Source organism: Homo sapiens, chromosome 8 (genome assembly GCF_000001405.40).
Source record: "Homo sapiens chromosome 8, GRCh38.p14 Primary Assembly".
NCBI lineage: Eukaryota > Metazoa > Chordata > Mammalia > Primates > Hominidae > Homo > Homo sapiens.
Window position 1 is genome coordinate 140,519,272 of NC_000008.11, and position 24,183 is coordinate 140,543,454.

The following is a 24,183-nucleotide window of genomic DNA, read 5'->3' on the forward strand; positions in this document are numbered from 1 at the left end:
GGGATCTGCTGCCATTTGGGGGCTTTCTTAAGAAAAGGAAAAGCCTGGCCGGGCACGGTGGCTCACGCCTGTCATCCCAGCACTTTGGGAGGCCGAGGGGGGGCAGATCACCTGAGGTCAGGAGTTCAAGATCAGCCTGGCCAACATGATGAAACCCTGTCTCTAGTAAAATACAAAAGTTAGCCGGGCATGGTGGTGGTGCAGGCCCGTAGTCCCAGCTACTCGGGAGGCTTAGGTGGGAGAATCGCTTGAACCCAGGAGGCAGAGGTTGCAGTAAGCTGAGATTGCACCACTGTACTCCAGCCTGGGTGACAAAGTGAGACTCCATCTCAAAAAAGAAAAAAAAAAAGGAAAAGCCCCCTTTTCCTTTCCCAGCACGTCGTCATCTCAGTATAGACAGCAGAAGTCAAAAACAGCCCAGTCAGGGTGAGGCCACCAGGGATTTGAGAGTAGCCAATGTGCGTAAACCTAGCCGGGACAGAGTAGCAAAGTGGCTGGCCAGGCCGCGAACCAGGACGGTGCCAGCTCAGGTTCCCACACTCAACACGGAACTCAGGACTTTGCTTGTGACGGGCTTAGCTGAATGGCTTCTTGATCCTTTCTCATGCTGCAGGAGCAGAAAGAGCCAACTATCCGACACACCATGGCTGCTCCCACTAGTCCAACTCATGCCTGTGGTTCTCATCCCCCAAACCCAAATCCTCGGGTAATGCCCAGCTCTGCCAAGTACATTCTTCAAGGAACAGCCCTCTGTTTGTGGAACAGGGCTCTGGACTTCCATCCCTGAAGGCACGCTTCTGCCTCGGGAGCTGGAATCATAACCTGTGCAGAAGGAAGTGCCTAAAGAAGTAGGTGAGGAATTGAAGATTTTTGGAAGAGGCAGCTGTAAATAGGAGGACTTTTATTTAATTTTTTGCTGACATACTATGAGGCAAAACAAAATTGACACCATACAAAATAACTTTATAAAATATCATTCACATCATATTTTATCAGATTTACAGCATTCTGTGCATGTTAGGGGTTATGTAAGGAGGTGAAAAAACACTATGCCAAACTTTTAGTATTAGTTTATATACACACAGTAAGAAACAAAACAAGTAACTGTTAGGTTTTCCATGAATTTATTGCAAAAATAGTGCAAACTACTTCACCTAGTAAGCTGTAAAAACAAACTAGAAAGGACCCAGCTAAGCTTAAACACGACAATAGATGCTCAGTTTCTCAGCATTTAGCTTTCTTCACCAGTTTTATCTTGACAATCAAGACCACTCCCCATCTGTTCAGTTTCGGGTGAGTGCTGAGGAATAGAGAAATGTGAAGACGGGCTCTCTGGAGAGACCAGAGGCTCGGGCTGCCTGATTTCAGCAACACATTTAGGATCATGCTACTTCCTCAATCGCAATTTTTCTGAGGTCTGTGTTGGGGGAAAAAAAAAAAGGTGACATGATTTTTAACCTTGAGCTTAGAAATAAGTTATCCAACCTCTTGATGACATGGAGAAATGAATTAAGAAAGCAGCATGAACAGGAAGGATTCAGAACATTATTGTCTGCTTATAAACACAGTGTCTGCCTCCTCAGGTGTATTTGGCTAAAGTATTATTCTAATATAGGGCAACCTTCGAGCCAGATATTGCAGCAATTTTTTTAAATTTTTTTAAATTTTTATTTTTTAAGGATACTATATCCCTACAAGAGTAATTTTTAAATTTCTTTCAACAGTCTATTGGGGTCCAAAAAGCATATATCAAAACAAAAATAACAAAAGCAAAACAAAATGCTACATGTAAAAGCTAAAGAAAGAAAATGCAGCATATTCAGGTTCTTTTTCTTGAGGTACCTATATAAATTTAATCACCTGCCCCAAAGTCCTCTCGTTAGGTTAAAAACACAATGCGTCCTGGGGAGCCAATTGCCCGGCACGTCTTATTACTGAGAAAGTGCAAGAATGCTGATCATCTTATGCAGCATACTAAAGGATGATTTACTCTTTACAAAATAGAGCTTAAGTATCAACCTGATGGAAGTTAGAAAATTAAAAACATTTAAGTAGAATCATCTCTCTCTCTATTTTTGAGATCCTGCAGCAAAAAGCCTCCCAAATCAACTTTCAAAGTTCTGCCATTAAGGAATGTTGGTTCTCTTGTAAAATTCAGAGATCTCTTTAAAATAGTAAAACTATATACTACAGGAAAGATCCCTAATTTTTATTTCTTATTGGTATAAAATCAAATTCTTAAGACTCCAAAATATTGTTACCTCCAAAGAATTAAGTAAAAAAAGATCGCCATAGTAGGAAAAGTCTAGAATTGTAAACTGCCAAATATAAAAGCATGGTAAGTCATCAACCTATCTCATTTTCTTACCTGTCAGAAAGCCTTCCTAACTTACAGGCACACAGGGCCGCTGCTGAATGCAGGCCTCTGCCTCCACAAAGCCACGAGCTCTGGCTCGCCCCTTTCTGTCCATGGCCATTAGCACCTCCACCAGGTAGGTCAGGAGAGATGAAATCGACAACAGTCCGTTTGCTGCTTATGAAATAAACTCTTAGAAAATGTGCCAGAGGAAGAGGGGGCATGAATGGCTAGAAAAGCAATGATGAGGGTACTTGGGATTTTTTTTCTGGCCACCCCTTCACTGGCACAGAAAATGAAGTGATAAGCTATAAATATGTGCATAGAGGAGTTTGGACTTTATTGTTTGTAAAATGTTAAATTTGCTCTTGGACATTTTTTTTTTTCTTTTCACAGGGGGGCAGTCGGGATTATAATACACTGTAGCAGTTGGCTGGGGAAAAGTCTATCAAATTCCATGACCAATTGGACTTTTCTCCCACCTGTAATATAAATAAAATATGTACTGTTTCATACTGAATTTTTTCAATGCATTGGGGTTCAACATAAAAGGCACAAATAAATAAAAATATCATTAAATAAACGGAAATTACAATTTCAAGTTTCATGTGGAGTTGTATCTCACTGTTTGGTTACTTTTTCCAATTTAATTTGACAGACTTAGTAATAGCACCCAACTGTTTAACTGAGGTAGATCCACATTGTAAAGAAAGCTGGGTCCCCTCCATTTTATCTCTAAATTTATGATACTTTTATAAAAACAAAAATCCATTTAAATCATATGCAGAAGCGATGACAGGTGGTACTACCTGAAGAAAGCTTAGAACATGAGCAGGTTTGCAAATAAGACCTACGCCCAAATCACACTCTCCATCAGCCACACAGAAATCTCAGACTGGAGGGGAAAAAAAAAAAGAAACATGAAAAAAAAAAAAAACCCTGAAAAAGTCGCAAGACTTTTAGAACAGGTCTTTTTGACTGTCACAGAAATGCACAATGGTCCATTTTCATCAAGCTATGGCCATAGCCAAGCTAGACAAGAGAGAGAGAGAGAGACAGAGACAGAGACAGAGAGAGGGAGGGGGAGGGGGGAGAGGGGGAGAGAGAGAGAGAGAGAGAGAGGTGTATCACTGAATGCTTCCCTTTAACTCCAGAAAAAAATAACTTGAATTATGATACAGCATCTTGATCTGAACAGTTTACACTCACTCTGCCTAATATTTTTGCATACTCTGAAACTCACAAATTTAACATCTGATTAAGGCTTAATTTAAAGTGGCATTGCCACCTAGCATCATGCAAGCGTGGACATCTTCAAGACACACAGCATGGTATTCAACTAAAGACAATGACATGAAGCCTCAGAATTGTATTTAGCAGGTACTATAATTTTATAATTAATTTTACAATTCATGTAGCAAATGGAAAATCATACAGAGAGGCCAATGTATATAAATAAGAGTTTATACAGAAACTGCCAATTCACAAAACAGCACTGCATGGTTTCTATATTGCAAGCACAAGACATGGTCACATGGTTCCACTGTACAGGTAGAAACAAGCCCACAGACAATACATAGAGTACCACCTGAAACGAGGCCCTTGGAGCTGCTCAGCTTCTTAGAAAATAGAGAACTTTCAATGGTCATAATACATTTTGATTCAAAATGTCTTCTAAAATGTTTTCATTGTGGGAGAAAATTAAGAAGGGGCAAAAATCCATCTATGGAACTTCTGAATTCATTTTTGGTTCTTTTTCAATTATTTTATAAAAATAAAATAAAACTAGAAAAATTGATAAAACTAAGGGTTAAAAGCCCTCAATATGTATTAGGTAAGTAATCTGAAGTGTACCAGAGGTAAGAAAAAGCTGGATTTAGATACTACATTCTTTTCCTGTATTTAATGAGTAATTAGCCACTTTGCTGCACAGAAACTTATAAATTATTCTCTCAAAACTTTTTAAAAAATAAAAACTTGCTTGCCTCTACAGTTATAAAACATGAATTCATACCTTTAACAACTACATTAAAATCCACTATCAAACTCAGGCCTGGAATTTCAATGCAACGCCACCCTCCATACTGTAGGATTTGAGTCACGCGTGTCTGTTTGGCTTTGAAGAGGAACTGGGATGGCAGCCACAGTGCTCCCTCTGCAGCCGTTGCCTCTGTGGAGGGAGAGGCCATTCCTTGCCTTGCAGGATGGTGGGTTGGGGGAGAAAGAGGGGAGGGCCAAGAGGAGCCACCAAGAAGAACTTCCTAGGTATTTAAGAAATAAGTACATGGGATTACTTCCCCACTTAAAACCAATAAAATCACCCCTTGACAGGGACAGGTGGTTTCTCAGGCCATTGGCCAAGAAACTGCTCAATACCTGGCTTGAAAAAGCTAGAGATAAAAACTGCCTGTTAGGTTAAGTCAAAACTGGTGTCCTATGTGCACAGCTCAAGGTGACACCACACCAAAGTAAGCGGTTTCCCAGGAAGTCACAAAACAGAGCAACAGTAATGAAGAGCATTCCAAAATAAGGGTCACAGGACTGAATAGCACCTTACAGCTGAGGACTTCACACACACACATTCTACAAAGACATGATTCCAATTCCTTTTTTAAAAAATCTACTTCCATTACAATAAATATTCTTCTCGAGTGACTATGAGAACAAGACCACCAGGCTTTGCTGATGGTCATGGTCAATGCATAAGAGATGGGTCTTGCACCAATCTCCTGCAATCCTGGCAGAGGTGGACTTGGTCAGGGTATGGGAGAAACCACACGACTGGAACCAAGTGTTTTCCGCAATGAGACCGAGTGCGTCCCCCGCGGCTCCAGACTGCATGGCATCACAGTTTACAAGTCAGGGGCTGAGGAGCGGAAAGAAAGCTTCCAAGGCTGGAGGTCCACGCCTGCCTTGTGGAATGGCACAGGCTTAGTTCCCCAGAGAAACGCAGCCCCAACATGATTCTGAAAGGACACTGAGGACCGGACTTTAAAGGCACAGAGTCTGAGACTGGGTCTTCCAGAACGCGATCAGGCTGGCACTGATGGAGACAGAGGAAGGCCTTGGCACCACCAGCTTCTTGGGACAGAGGGACCTGCCGTCTCCCACCCAAGACTGCGCACACAACTCCCAGAGTTCAAAGGAGCCCCGGACCCCTACACGAGCACCCCGATCTATGAAGTCGCTTGCACTGTGCCCTGCTGGTTGGTGCTGTGGGGTGTTCTTGGGATCAACTCACTCATTTTAAGGACCTTGGAGCTACAGAAAGAACTGAATAAGAATGGCCCCAACGTCCAGTTCCTGGAGACACTTGGGGGAAAGAGTTAATATTTGGTGTTTTAGCTTTAACTCTGAACTACTTAAATCCAAGGAGGTTTTAAATAGGAGATAACTCAGCCTCTTCCTACCCCCCAAAAGGGGGCTGGGGGCTGAGGTGAGGACTTAACCCTTTAATCATACCACCCACAGCATTTAAAAACCTAACAACACATCTAACATTTCCACACCAACCAATAAGATAGAAACGTGTTAACAAAAGCACCAGGAATCTTCAGTTCTCTCACTTCTGAGTAAATTCTCACAAACGCGAAGATGGTGGGAGGGCCCAGCGCAGCATTCCGGAGATGCGCGTGCAGGAAGCTTGCGGTGGATCTGCGTGCTGCAGCTCCCATGACTGAGTCGAGGGGCGAGCGGCTGTGCAGTGTCCCCTCGAAACACCCTGGACCAGATTCTGACAGCCCAAGGCCAGCCCAGCGGACCCAAGCAGCCTGTACCCTGGGCCGGCAGGCAGTGGGACACCCACGGGGGCCCAAGCCTCTTGAGGTCGGTCCGCACAGAACAGCGTGGCGGCAGAATTACAAAACATTCTCAGAGAGACTGCAAAGGACACTTAGCTCTTCCGGAATGAAAGCACGCAACGCAGCATAAAAAGCATCGAAACCCCAAACAGCAGAGTGTTAAAGGCAATTGCTTCCAGGTAGTGACGTAGTAGAACCGCCGGGGCCAAACTCAATGTCTGATGAGCAGCCAACATGAGAACGGGGCCACCTCCAAACACCCAGACACCTCCAACTGTCAGATCATCGCCTGTCAACTCAGAGTAAACTCATGGAGAAATTGGGGCGAGCGCTAACCTCAAGATCGGGCAACATATGGAACCCAAAGAAAGAAGCGAAGGAGGCCCCGGGCCCACAGCACAGTGTATGGGAAAATGACATTTCTGACAGCAAAGTGGTTAATCACAGGGAGGGGTGTTCAGAGCCTCCCAGGACCGACTTCCTGCAAGTCTGCATCAGACGGTCCACTGCGCCACTAGTGGGAACTTCTACTTCAAAACACCAGCTGTGGGCCCTGTGTTCTTTTCAAACAAAGGGCCCTGGATTTGAACAGAATGCTTTGCTTTCAACCCTTAGTTTGTTTTGCAGTAGGGAGTGAGAGTAACCCGAGGTCCCAAAGTCAAAGGCCAATTACGTCTGCATTGTCTTTGAAACCATGCAACTATTTTAAATGTATTATTTGCATGACAGTCGGTGTTGAAGCACCTTTGTGATTTTACAGAGTGTATAAAAGAGAGGAGAGGACAGAGGAGGCCATTTTCAACCCATTTGTAGGTAAAGCAGAAAAAAAAGTGCTTTCTTATATTAAATAGGAAAGTGAAAAGCCAGGCAGGACACAGGCTGTTTCAAGATTTTGCCACACCTGCGCAGGCTCCTGCCAGCCTGAAGGATGGCATGCCGTTATGCCGTCCCGTGCAGAGAACCCTCCCATGCCATTCGTGCCGGCCGTAGAATCCTAGAATCTCAAAGCTGCGCAGAACAGAGGTGACCCTGGTCCACCTGACACAGTAGAGGAGGAGGGGCTGCCCGTGGGTCACAGTATGGCACACACATTTTCAAGCCAGAACTGAACAGATAGATGTTCACAATTCAGTTTATTCAGGCAACATATTGGCTGTTTTCAGTGTGGACAGCTACACTTAAGAGCAAACATGATGAATCTATTGAGAATTCAGAGGTAGCCTTTATCTGCATTTTTTTTTAAACTAAAAGGTATTTAGGAACCACCTTCTGTAGTGATTTGGCTAAGCCAATACATTCACTTTAGACAATAACATGGCAAAACATACTGAAAGAAGCATAAGCGAGGGCACCGTAATGGCACTGGTGTGACTCGGACACACACACAGACTGGTCTGGGGCTGAAAAACTTCTTGCTGGGTGTGACACAGGGTAGCCTGACCACAGAGTGACACACGGGGGCTACAGCACACGCTGCTACTCCAGCAAAATAACGGGCACAAATGACAGCTTTGACACGACAGTAACCTCATGGCTTTAAGATGACTCTGACCACAGAGATGCAAGGAGGCCCTTGCGTCCTAGTAGCAGGCGGAGCAGATGCCTCCCGTCTGGACTGTCCCAGGCTGGGTGGAACTCAAAGACCATGCTTTGGAGAGCCACGGTAAGCGACGAGGAATCAAACAGACCACAACAGTGTTCACAAGACTGCAACGAGTCTGCTTAGGACTAAATCATCAGGCACCAAGAGACCATGTTCTCCTAGTAACCGATCTAGAACTTCCCTTCAGAAGAAAAAGAAAATGAGGCGAACTTGTCCTTCATAAATGGTCAACAGACACGAAGCTAAAGGGCGGAACAGAGTTAAGTCCACACAACTTTAACACATAATACTGAATACGAGGCAGTGTCTCCACAACAGAGCCACGTGTTGCATTCATGTCACTTCTCCTACCACAAATCTATTTACAATCATCTCAAACAAGTACAGCAGATGCGAAGTGGGACATCGTAAAAAGAAGTTGTCAAAAAATCAGTGCAATTATTTTGAGTCGAAGATTTTCCTCATAAAAAAGAGTCAGCGTGTGTGTGTGTAACAGGGGCACCCCCATGACAAAGTCACAGGTGCACTGCATCCGCACCGAGAAGCGTCACAGCAGACGAGACTGCTGGCACGGCAGCTAGAGTGCAACTCCTCGGTCACTTTGGGGAAGGGCTTCAAACATAAATGAAATACTCACGTTCTGCAAGTGAGGCGCATGAGCACTGAGGAAGTTTCTGTTTCTATTTATTGTACATTCCTTTTCTCATGAGCGTGAGAGATGGGTCAGAGAGAGGTCACAGGAAAATGTCGTATGGCTTGTCTGGGCCACTGGGATTGTCCACTGTCTGGATTATGTCGACTTCTAAAGCTCCTCCTAATGGAACTGCCTTATGTGTAGGAAAATGCCCATGAAAAATCCTTTTAACTGTCCAGCGGGTCACAGTCCCGCCGAAGGACTCATCCAGTTCCCAGAGGCGCAGGGAACAAGCCACGGGCCACCCCAGCCCCAAAGGCCTCCTGGGGACACTCCGGTGTCCCGGCTGCCTGACGTGTGGCCGGTCTATCCTAGCGTATTGTATCAAATATATAATTTGACTGAAAAACTGCCTTGTAAAAATAAAATTTAAACCACCCCGCAGATCAATGTAAAATTACATTGCTGCATATATAAGAAAAACAATTCATCCAGAAAAATCACATTTGTGGCTTTCAAAAATAAATCATCCAGCAAACTTGAAGGTAAACATTAGGCAATTTATAAAAGTTGGGGAAATAATTTCTATCATATCCATTAGGTACCACATGCACTGGAATATCTGTGTCGGCCAAACCAAACCAGAGCAGAAAGGAAAAAATAAATAGCAATATTTGCATTTAACAGCAATAAAAGTAACAAATAACAACAACAATAAAACCCCCCACCTACTAACCCCACTACAGGAACTGAACTGACATGATCTGTTCTAATGGGCACTCCGTCACGGGGGTAAACATTAGTGATAGCAGTTTAGGTCAGCCTCAAACAAACAGCGTGGAGGTCACTGCCTGCTTCCAACAGTTCCCTCTTGGGCAAGCTGTACAATGGTCACGCATCGTTTGTGGTTCTAGAGTGCAAACATTCATTCAAAGGAGTGTGAGACCACCACCGAAAAGCAACATCATCTGGAAAAGAAAAGGGAGACCCTGATGTGCAATCAAAAGGCTGCATGTAAAGACTGCTTGAACCAGAGAAAACCAAAACTTAAGGAAAACGATCCCTTTCTAAAAGTACAGCTATGCCCAGTTTTACAAAATTTATCCAAACCAGGAAAATCTGAGCTTAGGACACACAAAACAACAGGACGGTGGCTTTGCGTCACCGAAGGGCTCACACACGAGGGCAGCTTTCCACCGCTCCCCTGGTGTTCGTTAATTGCGTCGTCATTACAGCAAGAACTTGTCAAATGTGATAGGGTAGTGGTAAAAGGATGGGAGTACATCAATGTTTTTAAAAAGTGAACATGTAAAAACACACCAGGAAGAGTCCCAGTACAGAAATCGAATTGGGAGACCTCTTTTAAAGAGATGAGATAAAATCCCAGTTTTTCTTTTAAACAAACCCAGACTTCTACACATAATTTTCACATTCAGTTTGCTTAAAGCAAGGCACACCTTACTTAACAGTGGGATGGGGACAAAGCCAGCGAGTGGGCACCCCTCAAATCTTGACAGGCCCAGGGGGGCAGCAGTGGACAGGGAAGGGTGGCAAGGCCCCAGGCACCCACATGATCAGACGATCAGATGCCGGGGAAGGGCCACCTCTGGCTTTCACGTGAACAGGGCTGGGACTTACCCTACTGTACTTTGAGGTTTTTACACTGTCTCAAAATTTATCCTAATAATGCAGGGATTGGTAAAAATTTGAGAAAACAATTGTTTACCTGAGAAATTGTAACTACAGCCATTTAAACTCTGAATCATCAGACATGTACAAAGGTGTGCAGCTGACCCAGCTGGAGATGTTTGGTCTATTAATGTTTTTAGTATTAAAAGTTTTATAAAACAAGCATAGGGCTATAAAAAAGTACCCTTTTCGAAGTACTCTGGCCCACTAAAAATGAAAGTTTTCCTTCAAAATGATTAAAAAAAACAAAAATTGTAGTCCTACTTTTCTGCCAGCCCAGTCTGTCTCAGGCATCTGCTCAGGAAGCACCTCCTCCCTGCTGGGTGCCACCAGAGCTGGGTCCTCAGACCCCAGGGAGCCCAGGGCTGCAGGCCATCGCTTAGACACAGATGCCCTGGCCATCCCTGAAGTACCGCACGCAGGAGGTGGCAGCAGGCCCACAAATCTGCATGTTAAACAAGAACCGCCATCCCCCAGACAGCCTGACGCAGGTGGAAGAAACACACCTTTGAGACACATGGTTCCAGATGATTGTAAAAATGGCTGGAAACTAATCTAATTTCAGATTTGAAAAGTTATTAGTCACAAGATTCCCTCCTTAGCTTGAATGCATCCATTAATTTAAGCTACGAGCATGTCTGTATCCTTCTGAAAACAGGAGAAAGTGCCACTTGCCACTAAAACAAAAGGAACTGCCATTTCTTAGAGTGGGAGCTTCTGTCATTTAAAAAGATTAAAAAAAAATACAGCCAGAAGAGACTAATGCCATTAATAAGACACTCACACACAGGGACACACGCATGCACACACACACACACCACTCTGAGTACACATCTTCACAAATAATAGTCATCCCTTTGTCATTGCCGCCAATATCCAGGCGAGGTATCGGGAGACCCCCGACCTGCGGCTTGCTGCCCCTCCTGCTGCCTCCAAAGCAGCTGAGCACAAAGGTGGGGGGGGGGGTGCCGCTGAGCAGGAGGCAGCTCCTTTGGCACCCCACCCCACCACAGTGCCGAGGTAAGTGTCGCGCAGGGCCGGGGAGGGAACAGCAGCAGGAAGAGGGGACCTACGGAGCGCACAGCAGCACTAGGGGAGGCTCGCCTCCTTCCTGACGCCTCTACACGGAACATGGATTTGAGTCTTACTAAAACTGTGTACAGAGACAAAAAGCCCACTCAGCACAAACAGAGTTGTCTGTTGTTAGCCTTCAAAATCGTCCGTGGTGTCACTCTTAGTGCAACAGTTTCTAGATTGGCAAACCCAAGTCTGGGGCCCCAAATGCAAACCCCAGAAGAACGGCCCATGCCCTCTGCTGGCCCTGCTATCCTTGGGCCTCCCAGGGCCAGGCAAGCTCCTTCGCTGTGACCGACGGCCTCACGCCCAGCAGAGCCACCACCAACAGCTTTCTACGAATCTCAGTGCATAGATCTATGGAAGTCATCTGACAAAAGAGCACACGGAGAGGAGTGAGTCCCCACACATCAATGTTTCCCAGCAATGCAAGAATAAATAATTTCCACTTGTGCTTCATCAGCTGAGTGAGTGACACACGGGGATGAGGCGGCAGGGAGGGTGGCGAGCGGCGCGGAGGGCACATCCGTCCCTCCCATGGGTACACGCTGCACAGTCTCCACGGGGGAAGCGGGTTGCTGTCACATTAAGTCAATTGCATATTCCTGTCCTTAAGCACTAAGAACTGAGAGGCGGTCCCATCTCCAGGCTCCAAAACACTCTTGATATGCCAAACAGATCACAGAAGCACCCCATAGTCAATAAAATGAAAAAACAGCATCTATCTATCACATTAATACTGCAAACCAGATATATATATTCTTCTCTTACATTAAAGACATAACAGTGAAAAAGGATTGTACTGTATTTATCACCACAGACCCGTATTCTTTAAAAACTTTGGAAAATAAATGTCACAGTCCTATAGGACAAATCTGATGATTAGACTGTCAGTATATTGTCTTTTTTCTTTTTTTAAATACATTTTTTATTAAAATGGCACTTGTCTGCCAACCTCTCTGGACCTGGAAATGCTGTAAACACACGGGGCCCACCTTCTGCCACTGCTCCTTAGTTCAGGCCGGGTGAAGGGCGGTGCTGGCAGAACACGGCACCTGCGGACGCCTCTGCATGGCCACCGGCCCTCAGTCGAGGAACTTGGGTGAGCCACGCCAGGGGCACACGAGCATCGCCTGGAAATCAACTTTAGTGACAACATCAGAATGTTCAAGGCTTTAAAACCACACTTGTGTTTTGTGTTGCTTTCACTCTCAGAAGATTCACAGCTAGTTTGAGCCCATCAATTTCATAGAGAATCATGTATTAAAAACAAGTAAATTGAATGACCAAATAAATTAAAAATGTTTTAAAGCCCTGAGTTCATAGACTGGTTTTAGGAGATTTTTAGGACACACGGGACTCTGTTTTAATAAGCAGCTTATAGATTTTAGCAAACCATATTTCCTATGACATTGGGTTCTCATACAGGTCTGCAGTTCAAAATCCAAGTTTGAAATCTGGGACGGAAGGCATTCTGGAAAACGGAGAATCTAATAAAATCAATGACGTCTCATGTTCGATGCTGGCTGTCACGGAAGGGCTGGCCATCTGTTGGTCTGAGTGTAGCTGGTCTCGTGAATCCCACTCGGTACACAATCGCTAAACACTAAAACATGTCAAGCAAAGTACATGGTGCGCAGAGTGTCTTGGTGAACCTGGACCGCCTTGGCCAGTGCTTGGTGGTCTCGCCCGTTACTCTGCCCAGAGGTATGGCTTCCTTCAGCACTGCAGGGATGAGAGAGAGAGAGAATGAGAATGTGCAGCCTTAATGCACGATGAGGCAGTGCGTCGATCACTAAGTCGGGATGGCATGGCGGGAACCTGGGAGAGGGAAGAGTCCCACGCTGACGGCCGTGCCATTAACAGGCCTTCTGGGGTGCCGGCTCCAGCCGCTGGGGCCCTGCCCCTTCCCCTTCCAGAAAAGCAGCTGCCAATACCCGTGGCAAAAACCACCCCTGCTGTGACCTCCAGCCAGGCATGCCACTCACCTGTCATGTTCCTTATCCACCAGGTGGTACCTGGCCCGGAAGGCCACCAGGTGAGCGTAGTATGCTGGCGCTGGGATGGACACGGAGCGTGTGCAGCGCACGTAGGTGTGACACAGCTGGTAGGTTAGGATCTGCAGCTCATCAGAGGAGAAACGATTGTCGTCCCAGAGGACGTGATAGTGCGAAGGCCTGCTTGTCCCCTAAAGCAGATCAGAAGATTAGACAGTTGGACTCGCATAAAATCTTTAAAAGGATACTGTGGAGAAGATTTATATTTGTATTATTAAAAATGCATCATAGTCTGGACACGGAGGCTCACGCCTGTAATCCCAGCACTTTGGGAGGCCAAGGCGGGCAGATCACGCGGTCAGGAGTTCGAGTCCAGCCTGGCCAACATAGTGAAACCCCATCTCTACTAAAAATACAAAAAAATTAGCTAGACAATTGTGGCATGCGCCTGTAGTCCCAGCTACTTGGGAGACTGAGGCAGGAGAATCACTTGAACCCGTGAGGTAGAGGTTGCGGTGAGCCGAGATCACGCCACTGCACTCCAGCCTGGGCAACAGAGAGAGACTCCTCTGTCTCAAAAAAAAAAAAAAAGCATCATAACTACATATAGTAAATGGCCCCATATTTGTAAAACTGTATACATTTATTTACACACAGAAAAATCATATCAAAGATATAAAGCAGGCTGGGCCCGGTGGCTCACACCTGTAATCCCAGCACTTTGGGAGGCCGAGGCGGGCAGATCACAAGGTCAGGAGATCGAGACCATCCTGGCTAACACGGTGAAACCCTGTCTCTACTAAAAATACAAAAAATTAGCCAGGCGTGGTGGCGGGCATCTGTAGTCCCAGCTACTTGGGAGGCTGAGGCCAGAGAATGGCATGAACCTGGGAGGCAGAGCTTGCAGTGAGCCGAGATTGTGCCACTGCACTCCAGCCTAGGGGACAGAGTGAGACTCCGTCTCCAAAAAAAAAAAAAAAAAAGATATAAAGCAATATTGAAAGTGGACGTAACAAGGACAGTGCCATTTGTGTATCTTACATTTTATATAATTGATTTATAATGGCAAGAAAAAGACCTCTAATAAAAGTTACACATTAGGCCAGGTGCAGTGGATCATGCCTGTAATCCCAGCATTTTGGGAGGCCGAGGCGGGCAGAACACCTGAGGTCAGGAGTTTGAGACCAGCCTGGCCAACATGGCAAAACACCATCTCTACTAAAAGTACAAAAATTAGCCATGTGTGGTTGCGTACGCCTGTAATCCCAGCTACCCAGGAGGCTGAGGCATGAGAATCGCTGGAACCCGGGAGGCAGAGGCTGCAGTGAGCTGAGTACACGCCACTGCACTCCAGCCTGGGCGACAGAGTGAGACTCCGTCTAAAAAAAAAAAACAACAACAAAAAATTACACATTAGCAGTAACATTGTAGAAGTGAGAGTGTGAACGTGAGTACCATTTTACACACCTCCTGCGGTTGGAGATCCTTTGAAATGAAAGCAGCACCAGCTGCTGACTGCAGGCCTCTCTGCCACCTCTGCCTGCCTGCCCGCCTCACTGCCTGCTCCACCTGCCAGCCTCGCAGGCCCTTCTGACAACAACCTGTCCAGCACAGTCCCTGCCACCTGCTCTGTGTCTAGCCCTGTGCCGAGGCCCCTGGTGCTGGTGGGCAGCGGAACGTTCGTCCCTGATGCTCCACCGCACATGCTCCGGCACCCCTTTCCTGGCGTGTGACTGGTGGCTGTCACAGGGGCCCAGGGGAGTGAGGGCATCTGTCTCCATGGGACTGCTAAGGACACAGCAGCAGTGGCAGCCTTGGGCCATAAATAGCTCACCAGAGAAGCATCCCCCGTTAGAAAGATTTTGGGTAGAAAGTTCAGGGAGAAGAGTTTGCCCAGGAAACATGCCCAGGAGGCCCTGGTGGGTGAGGCTCCCCGACTAGAAGGGAAGACTGAACAGAGGGCACACGCAGGCAGGGCATGGCCCCAGGCCCATCTCACCAGCCCTGGCAAAGCAAGCCAACACTGGGACAGGCACTTTGCACCAGGAAGTGCCACAAACCCTGCACGCACTCCATCGCCTGCTTCTCAACAACCCTTCAAACAGCAAAACCCACTCTCAGCTCCCGGGCTGCAGGCTGGACCCGGCCCACAGGCCACGGTTCCCTAGCCCCCATTCCTTCTCTGTCAGGCATGTGAACAATGTGACATTTTAAAATATTTCCAATGGAATATTAAAGGTACGTACAAAGTTCATAGCAAATCCTCAAACTCTAGGGTTCAAATCCTTTAGGAAGGGATATTCAAGTCCTTACTTATACTTTGAAAAACCAAAAGCCCCTCTGATCAAGCTCTCTGCAGGCAGGGACGGCACGTGACTAAGGTTCCTCCTGTCCCCCGGGCGAGGCTCTGCAGAGCTGGGGAGGGGCAGCTCCTACCACGGACGTGGTGCTCCTGCTCCTGTCAGTGCTCCCAAGAATCGCCTTGGGTCAGATGGGGGTCCCCTCATGAAGGAACCCAGGAGAGCCTCAAGGTGGTAACCAACACCATGGCCACCTTCTCTGAGCACCCAGTCCTTGGCTGGAGCCTGGCCCTGGCCAGTGATTGCGCGAGGGGACGGCAAGGCTGACTGCGCCAAGTGCTCGTGAATCGACGCCAAGTCTGCCCCATGCGGCCCCTGCAGCAGCTGCCCAGTGGCCTTCCAGCTTCCACCCCATGGCAGCCCCAGCGCCTCAATCCTGCTCAGACCTCACCAAGCTCCAGCCACACCACACCCCTGGCTCCCCAAGGCCCTTGGTGCTCCCTGCTCCTCAGCCCTACCAAATGGGACTTCCTTTTTCTGGGAGGCTCATGCTGACCCACCCCCCAGGCCCCTCTCCCCACCCCAGCGCCTGGCACAGCCTGGGCTCCCCGGTTCCCTGGTACTGCCTGTGTGGGCCCCTCACACCACATCCCACGTGCCAGCCAGAGTGCAAGTGTTTGCTGAATGTGGGGATGACACGGCAGACGGCCAAGACTCTGTCCGAAGGGGACTCCCGGCCTTACCTGGATGCCAGCGTGACTACACAGGTAGAAGTCGAACTCGGTGGGGTGGGTGATTTTCGTGTCCACAGTCGTGCCTGCTGGAATGTTTCCACTTTTCCCAACCTTCGGCAACACAGGCATCTCGTTAGACACGGCCAGGGACCGGCAGAGCCAAGCAGGCGGGCCAGGCAGCCGCGCCGCCCGCTGGCCAGGGTGCCCTATTTTGAAGTTTTTAAATTGGCTAATACAGGTCCTCGGTAGGATAGTGTTACATAAAATTTAACAACTGCTGACCACCAGGTTAAATGAATTAATGTTCCATGTGGGCTGGGGTTATTTTCCGCCAACTCTCATGAAGGCCCATGAGTTAAATGCAGTCTTTTCACTGCAGAACGTGCCTCTGATGCCTTAAGAGTCCCTCGATACTGTTGGTGCTATTTTGATTTGAGGTCAAGATGGAAACTGTCACCAACGTACACATCTAAAGCTAAACCAGGTGACTGGCTGCGGACAAGCCATCATCCAAGCACAAGCACACCGGCGCTCCAGGCAGAGGCGCTGGGAGGCTCTGAACGCTGTCAGGAGTGCCTGTGCTTTGCCGGTAGCTTGCGCCCAGCACCTGAGAGAGCAGGGCGGCTCCATCAGAGACTGTCCCAGAGGCCAGGGGCGGTACATATAACCATTCAATGGTTTAATTACAAGGTCACAAGCATGGACCAAAAAGTCAGCCAAGATGCAGGCATGGCCACGCCAGCAGCAAACCCCCACCCCACAAGCCCTGCTCCAGCATTTAGCAAGGTCCCTGATGAATGTTTTCTAGTTGTACACATTTTAAATATACATACAAAAAAGAATCTCCAGTGTGTTCCCTTCTTTGCAATTTTTTTTTTTTTTTTTTGAGATGGAGTCTTGCTTTGCCACCCAGGCTGGAGCACAATGGCGCAGTCTCGGCTCACTGCAACCTCTGCCTCCCAGGTTCAAGCGATTCTCCTGCCTCGGCCTCCCGAGTGGCTGGGACTACAGGCATGTGCCACCACGGCCGGCTAATTTTTGTATTTTTAGTAGAGACGGGGTTTCACTATGTTGGTCAGGCTGGTCTTGAACTCCTGACCTCATGATCTGCCTGCCTCGGCCTCCCAAAGTGCTGGGATTACAGGCATGAGCCAGCGCATCCGGCCCTAATATCTCTTTTCAAAGTAGGTTTGGATTTTGTTCATCTGCTTTATTTCTTCTTCAGTTTCTACCTCAATTATTTTCCATTCTAGGATGGAGAAGTGGCGTGTAGGTGTCACCAGGAGCAAGCTGACTTCCGAGCCCTCCTGCCTCCTGGCAACAGAGATCTGGGGGCTGCAGCGGGGAGGAAGGGGGACAGGGGAAGACACCCAAGGCCATGAGTGCCTCAGCCTTCCCTTGACTCCTGGGGACTGAGGTCTCTTATTCCCATCCTTCCTATGTCTTTAGGCTTCTTTTATGGCCCTCTTTCTTGTTGTACAACAAATTCATCTGAATCTACAGACGGCACTGTTTCAGCTGCATTGCATAAGGCTTGACAGGACATTCTCGATTGTGTTAGCTTCTGAGTACTTTGTGATTTCTATTCTTGTTACATGTTTAATGCATGAGCTACTCAGCAGTGAATTGAAAGTTGAAAACATTCTTCCACTTCGTTTCTACTGTTGATTTAAAATTTAATTGTATAATGATTTAAAAAATATGGCTTGAGACTGAAGTTTGGAAAGCTCCCGAGACTTCCTTTGTCCTGGTAGAACTTTTATAACCCTTCCGTGTGAACTCAGCTATTTGTAGGGAAGATTCTATCTAGCTATTAGACCTGGCTTGGCTTGTTCATTTCACTCTTCCAATTTTCAGGGTTTCTTTTCTTTTTTTTTTTTTAAGACAGGTCGGAGTGCAGTGGTGCAATCACAGCTCATTGCAGCCTCAGCCTCCTGAGCTCAAGTAAGTCTCCTGCCTCAGCCTCCTGAGTAGCTGGGACCATAGGCGTATGCTACCATACACAACTAATTTTTAAATTTCTTTTCGAGATGGGGTTTCACTTTGTTGCTCAGGCTAGTCTTGAACTCTTGGACTAATACGATCCACCTACCTTGGCCTCCCAAAGTGGTGGGATTACAGGCGTGAGTCACTACGCCTGGCCCCAATTTTTTTTCCTTAGTTTTTCATTTTTGTCTGGAAACAGTATAATAAGAGCTGTGTAAAAATATCCACCTTTGATGGCGTGTTCATCAATTTCTCCTTAAAATGCTGTTAGTTTTTGCTTTACTTTTTTTTTCTTTACATAATTTGGTGTTAGGTACATTCAAGCTCATTAGTTGCTGTATCTTTTTGGTGAATCATTCTACTTATTTATTTTTGGGTATTGTTTTTCTTTTTTGAGATAGTCTCACTCTGCCCCCCAGGCGGGAGTGCAGTAGCAAAATGTTGGCTCACTGCAACCTCTGCCTCCCAGGTTTAAGCAATTCTCTTGCCTCAGCCTCCCGAGTACCTGGGACTACAGGCGCCCGCCACCACGCCTGGGTAATTTTATGTATTTTTAGTAGAGATGGGGTTTCGCCATGTTGGCCAGGCTGGTCTCGGTCTCCTGACCTCAGGTGACCCACCTGCCTCGGCCTCCCAAAGTGCCAGGATTACAGGCGTGAGCCACCGTGCCTGGCCTGGTGAATGATTCCTTTTACTGTGATAAAATATCCTTTTTCCTCACTGTGATGCTTAACTTCTGTTTCACCTTCCATTTGCACAGTAAACCTTCCCTGTGTCCTTGCACAGCCGTGCCTGTAGGGAGTCTAACACTCTGAAGTATTCTTTCCTGGGTGCCAAGTAGATGATAACCCTCTGCCTTCCGGTCCTCCCTTGACCAGGTCAAGGTCTCCTGGTTCAGTCCAAGGCCTCCTTTCTGGGCAGGTCTCTTTCCTTAGGCAGCTACCTTGATGTTATGCAGGTAGGACAACGTGGACAGGTGTGAGTTTCTTTTTACTTATCCTACTAGGAATACGGAAAACACTTTTAACCTGGGTCTCCTGCCTTTCGTCAGCTGTGGAGAATTCTCAGCTCTTCTATCTACAACTCCTGCTCCTCCTCATTCCCCTTCCGGAACACCTATGAGATGTACCATGGCGCTTCAACGCCGCCACCTCTCCTCCCCTCCTCAGCACCACCTTCCAGCCCTGCCACAGGGACCTGCCGGGAGGGTCCGAGTTTGCACCACTCTGCCAATTCTTACGACTGCACAGCTCCATGCTGTGGTTTCTAACTGGGACTTTTTCAGAGCCACCTCTTTTGGTAATCTATTAGATAAGTGACATCTTGTGCCTAGACCTAGCCTAGGCCTGTGGGATTTATAAATTAAGACTTTTTGGTGGGGCGCAGTGGTTCACACCTGTAATGCCAGCACTTTGGCAGGCCAAGGCAAGAGGATGGCTTAAGCCCAGGAGTTTAAGACCAGCTTGGACAAAATAGTGAGACCCTGTCTCTACAAAAAATAAAAAAAAAATTAACCAGGTGTGGTGGTGCATGCCTTAGTCCTAGCTACCAGGGAGGCTGACGTGGGAAGATCACTTGAGCCCAGGAGATAGAGGCTGCAGTAAGCTATGATCGCACCACTGCACTCTAGCCTGGGTGACAGAGCCAGACCCCATCTTAAAACCCTCCAAAACAACAACAAAAAAGCTTCACCAAATCAAGGACAGCCTTCTCTAGTGTCTAAACCTGGGTCCCCATGAAGCCCCTTAGAGGACAGAGTCACCCTAGAGCCTGGGACAGCGGCACTGTGGCCAGCAGGTTCTCTTGTGAGTGTGCTCGGGGTGTGGGGCTGAGGGGAGAACCGTGCCCCCTGCCTGGAGTCATGCAGAAACTCACCCGCTCGTTCTTGTCAGTGCAGAAGAGCCGGGTGTGGTGCCTCTTCTGCACCACGATGAAGGTGATCCCGGGCTGGTAGTCTTTTTCTAGCTTGATACAGGCCTCACGGATGGCCAGCAACTCGTGGTGGAGAACCTAGGGGTACGGGAGGGAGGAGGTTGTGCTTAAAGATGGTAGTGCATGTGAGCAACGGTCCCACGTGCGGGTTCTGGGTTGAGAACACCCAGCCGTGGTGATTCTGAGAGACAATGAGTGTGTTCACGGGGAGGTGAAAACACGGGGGCAGAAACCATCCTCTCTGCAGGGAGGACTGGATGCAGGAAGCGGGGGCTTGGCACTCAGGAATGGGAAGAACACTTCCCCTGGAGGGCCCAGGAGGTTGTGTGTGTGCAAGGGGCGCAGCCAACGCCAGGGATGCAGGCTGGGCTCTGCGCTGAGAAGGCACATGCAGAGGCCAAGCTCCTGCAGAAGCTCAGGGCAGGCTTTGGGCTGGGCGCAGTGGCTCATGCCTGTAATCCCAGGACTTTGGGAGGCCGAGTTGGGCGGATCACAAGATCAAGAGATCGAGATCATCCTGGCCAACATGGTGAAACCCCATTTCTACTAAAAATACAAAAATTAACTGGGCGTGGTGGTGGGCACCTGTCGTAATCCCAGCTACTCCGGAGGCAGAGGCAGGAGAACTGCTTGAACCCGGGAGGTGGAGGTTGCAGTGAGCCGAGATCCTGCCACTGCACTCCAGACTGGAGACAGCGAGAGTCTTTCTCAAAAAAAACAAACAAAAAAACAAAACAAAAAACACACAAAAAACAAAGCAGCTCAGGCAGGCTCCAGCCAGAAGTGCTGGCCGGTCAAGGTGTATCCATTCTGTCCTCCCAGGAGGCCATGGGTCTCGGGAACGAGCTCTGCTTCCGCTCTGGACTGGGAAGGCAAATGGGGGAGGCTGGGCTGCGTGCCATCCCGCCTCCTGATCAAGGCCGGGGAGTTCCTAAGCTCCTGGGGCAGCCACGGAGGATGTCTTCCCACCCCACTGGGTGGGGCTCCTCCCCCAACATGCCTGGGGCCGCTTTCTTCTGCTTTTCTTGCTAACACCTCCCAAGGAAGCGACCGTGTGGCATGGCGAGGGGTGGGGAGGAATCGGCTCTAGCCAACGGGAGAAACATTCAGGGCACCCATCGCCCGGGTTCCAGGCCAAGATGGACTCATTCCTGCCCACAGGTCACCTTGATCTGGGGGTGCTGCGTGTGCTCTCAACCAAAGACAGCAACGAAACTCCCCTCACCCCTCTGTGATGGCTTCCCTGCCTGTCCAGACTCAGCAGTGACCCATTGTGGCCGTCCCTCTCTCTACATCCAGACAGTGGCCGCGTCCTGGCGACCCTACCTTCAACAGAGCTGCCACCTATCCATCCTTCTGGCCCTGCCTCCACACCTCTCACACTGCAGACAGGCGTCCCCAGACGCAATGAGCTCCCCGCCTCGCAGGGACACCCGACAGCTCTCCACAGCCTGCAAGGCAAAGCCAGGCCCTCGGGAAGCCCCCAGATGGAGCTCTGCTCTGCAAGTCAGCGGAACTCAAGCGTCTCTCCCCCATCTCTTGGTCCCCAGGCCCATACCCGCCCCTCCTCCCCTCCCTCTGTCCTGCCTCAGTGTCATGTGTTAGGGTCTCGACAGCCCCGTGTCCCATCTCCTCCCCTGGACCCCCTTCCATGGTGTGACCAGATCAGCCTTGGGGCCGAATGAGAGCCACATCATTCTTGCCATTCATCGAGCGTGGTTCTGCTGCACAAACAGGTGAATTACAGACCCCAGAGAAGGGGAGGGAAGGTTCCAAGAGGCGCCCACCTGCTGGAACTGGCCTTCAGAGACACCGTCGCGGTAGAAGATGATGCGGGTGGGCTTGAAGCGCGTGGACTTGTAGAACTGGATGAGGAGCTCGCGGACCATGGCGGCCAGGTCTTGTATGATCTCCTGCCGGTGCTGCTGCACGCGCACGGTGGCGCAGTAGCGATTGGGGTGGGCGTCCATGCTGCCCACCACCTGCAGGAACAGGCAGTGAGTGTGGTCAGGGGTTCCCAAAACTTTCCTTTCCTGGGCATGTGCCTGGACTCTCGGGAAGATGGGGACGAGAAGTGTCCCCACCCTGGAACTCATGTCACTGTCAAGTGACAATGGCTGGCTGGGTGTGAACTCAGCCTTTAGGCTTTTGGTGTCTGGCAATAGTGTTCGTAAATACGTACTGAAGTACAAAAGTTTGCCAAGTTACATAGTTTAAACAAAACAAAACAAAACAAAACAAAACAGGCCGGGTGCAGTGGCTCACACCTGTAATCCCAGCACTTTGGAGGCCGAGATGGGCGGATCACCTGAGGTCAGGAGTTTGAGACCAGCCTGGCCAACATGGTAAAACCCTGTCTCTACTAAAAATATAAAAATGAGCTGGGCATGGTGGTGCGTGCCTGTAATCCTAGCTACTCGGGAGGCTGAGGCAGGAAAACTGCTTGAACCCAGGAGGCGGAGGTTACAGTGAGCCGAGATCACACCACGCACTCCAGCCTGGGCAACAGAGTGAGACTCTATCTCAAAAACAAAAACAAAAACAAAAACAGAAAAACAGATTAGAACTATCCTCTGCTTGGGATCAGATGTGGCTGAATTAATCAGTCCAAAGAAGGCAATGGGTGGGGGTGTCCCTATTTCTTCCAAAGAAACTACAAGCACATCAACAGCATCCCCGAAGGCACACCAGCCATGCAAGCAGCCACCGGAAGGTGCCAGCCATGAAGAGGGCAGACAGAGAGAGCCTAGCACGGCTCTGCGGTTCTCTGTCGGGGGCCAAGGGAGCGTGAGGGATGAGGTGGCCCAGCCCATGGAGGGAACCGGGTAGATCCCCACGTGTCGCTCCACCCTCTGGCTGCGGAAGGAAAGGTCCTTAAATTTTGAAAAAACACTGATGGAAATAAAACCTCTCATGTCACTGAAAAATAGGAACTGCTTCTTGGCAATCTGCCTCCTTCTTCGTAAATCCTTACAGAACAAGTTCTTTCCCAGTTAATTCTCCCACTATTCCACGTCCTTTGTCCTGCCTTGGGCTATAATTTTTCTCTTAAACCAAGAGAAAAATAAATAAACTCTGTAATGTTTCCAGTTGGTATAAACAGAAATACATTAACATAAACAGAAATCTGTTCCTATTGATTGAGAATTGTGGGGATAGGGGATAAACACACAGATTTCTCTGTTCCTGAAAACTTGAAAAAAAAAAAAAAAACCAGCCTAAGGCTCCAAAAGCCCAAGATATAGTTGAATGCTTCATAACATTTGTACAGAAAAAAACAAAGCTAACGGGGACCAGGTGAGGTGGGGACAGGGGAGGGCGCCAGCCCGCTGTGCTGCGGGCTTTCCCCAGCTGCAGGACCCTCGGGGGGTCCCCTCTGTGCCCTGGCTCCCTCCTGGGCACACTGGTGCCCAGCTGTGGCTCGGTGACAGCCATGCGGTGCTTCCCCATCAGAGGAAAGGGCTGAAAATGGCTCAGCATGGCCAGGTGCAGTGGCTCACGCCTGTCATCCCAGCACTTTGGGAGGTTGAAGCAGGTGGATCACCTGAGGTCAGGAGTTCAAGACCAGCCTGGCCAACACGGTGAAACCCCATCTCTATAAAATACAAAATTTAGCCAGCCATGATGACAGGTGCCTGTAATCCCAGCTACTCGGGAGGCTGAGGTGGGAGAATTGCTTGAACCTGGGAGGCAAAGGTTGCAGTGAGCTGAGATCGCACCACTGCAATCCAGCCCGGGTGACAGTTACTCTGTCTCACAAAACAAAACAAAACAAAACAAAAAACAAAAATAGAAACAACAAAAAAAAACCCACAAAACAACAACAACAACAAAAAAACGACTCAGCAAAGTGAGCAGCGGTATATGCGTGGGAGTGGTGGGGTTGTGATTATCGGGCCAAGTGGCAAGAATTAGTTGATGCATGTGAATTTCCTTAAAGGAAGTGTGCCCTGAATAACACCAGAGCACATATCATGTTGCTTTTCTTCCACCTGGGGCAGCTCGAATGGCTTCCTTGCGTCCCAGATAGATTCTCTTGCTCCATATTCTCTCCCAACTAATGAAATAATAATGGTAG

General features: G+C 48.3%; 1 protein-coding gene across 7 annotated transcripts in view, besides 2 other annotated features; it reads right to left on the reverse strand.

The window, feature by feature from the left end:
• Window positions 1-884: 884 nt before the first annotated feature.
• AGO2 (argonaute RISC catalytic component 2) overlaps window positions 885-24,183 on the reverse strand; it is a 122,158-nt gene continuing 98,859 nt past the window's right edge. For 5 of the 7 annotated variants that reach the window (XM_011516968.3, NM_012154.5, XM_047421697.1 and 2 more), the window contains 5 exons: window positions 21,893-22,087; window positions 20,049-20,183; window positions 16,197-16,298; window positions 13,145-13,344; window positions 885-12,881 (listed from right to left, as the gene is read on the reverse strand). In XM_011516968.3, the coding sequence (XP_011515270.3) occupies window positions 12,773-12,881; window positions 13,145-13,344; window positions 16,197-16,298; window positions 20,049-20,183; window positions 21,893-22,087 (741 nt within the window). In that variant the 3' untranslated portion in view covers window positions 885-12,772. The remainder of the gene's footprint in view (window positions 12,882-13,144; window positions 13,345-16,196; window positions 16,299-20,048; window positions 20,184-21,892; window positions 22,088-24,183) is intronic. The other 2 variants (NM_001164623.3, XM_047421695.1) reach the window with 1 other exon arrangement.
• Window positions 8,179-8,680: an enhancer, noted in NCBI's record as "H3K4me1 hESC enhancer chr8:141537549-141538050 (GRCh37/hg19 assembly coordinates)". NCBI's record gives its function as "activates a minimal SCP1, AML or CMV promoter by ChIP-STARR-seq in naive H9 embryonic stem cells {active_cell/tissue: H9 hESC(naive)}" and the evidence as "EXISTENCE:reporter gene assay evidence [ECO:0000049][PMID:30033119]".
• Window positions 8,681-9,180: an enhancer, noted in NCBI's record as "H3K4me1 hESC enhancer chr8:141538051-141538550 (GRCh37/hg19 assembly coordinates)". NCBI's record gives its function as "activates a minimal SCP1, AML or CMV promoter by ChIP-STARR-seq in naive H9 embryonic stem cells {active_cell/tissue: H9 hESC(naive)}" and the evidence as "EXISTENCE:reporter gene assay evidence [ECO:0000049][PMID:30033119]".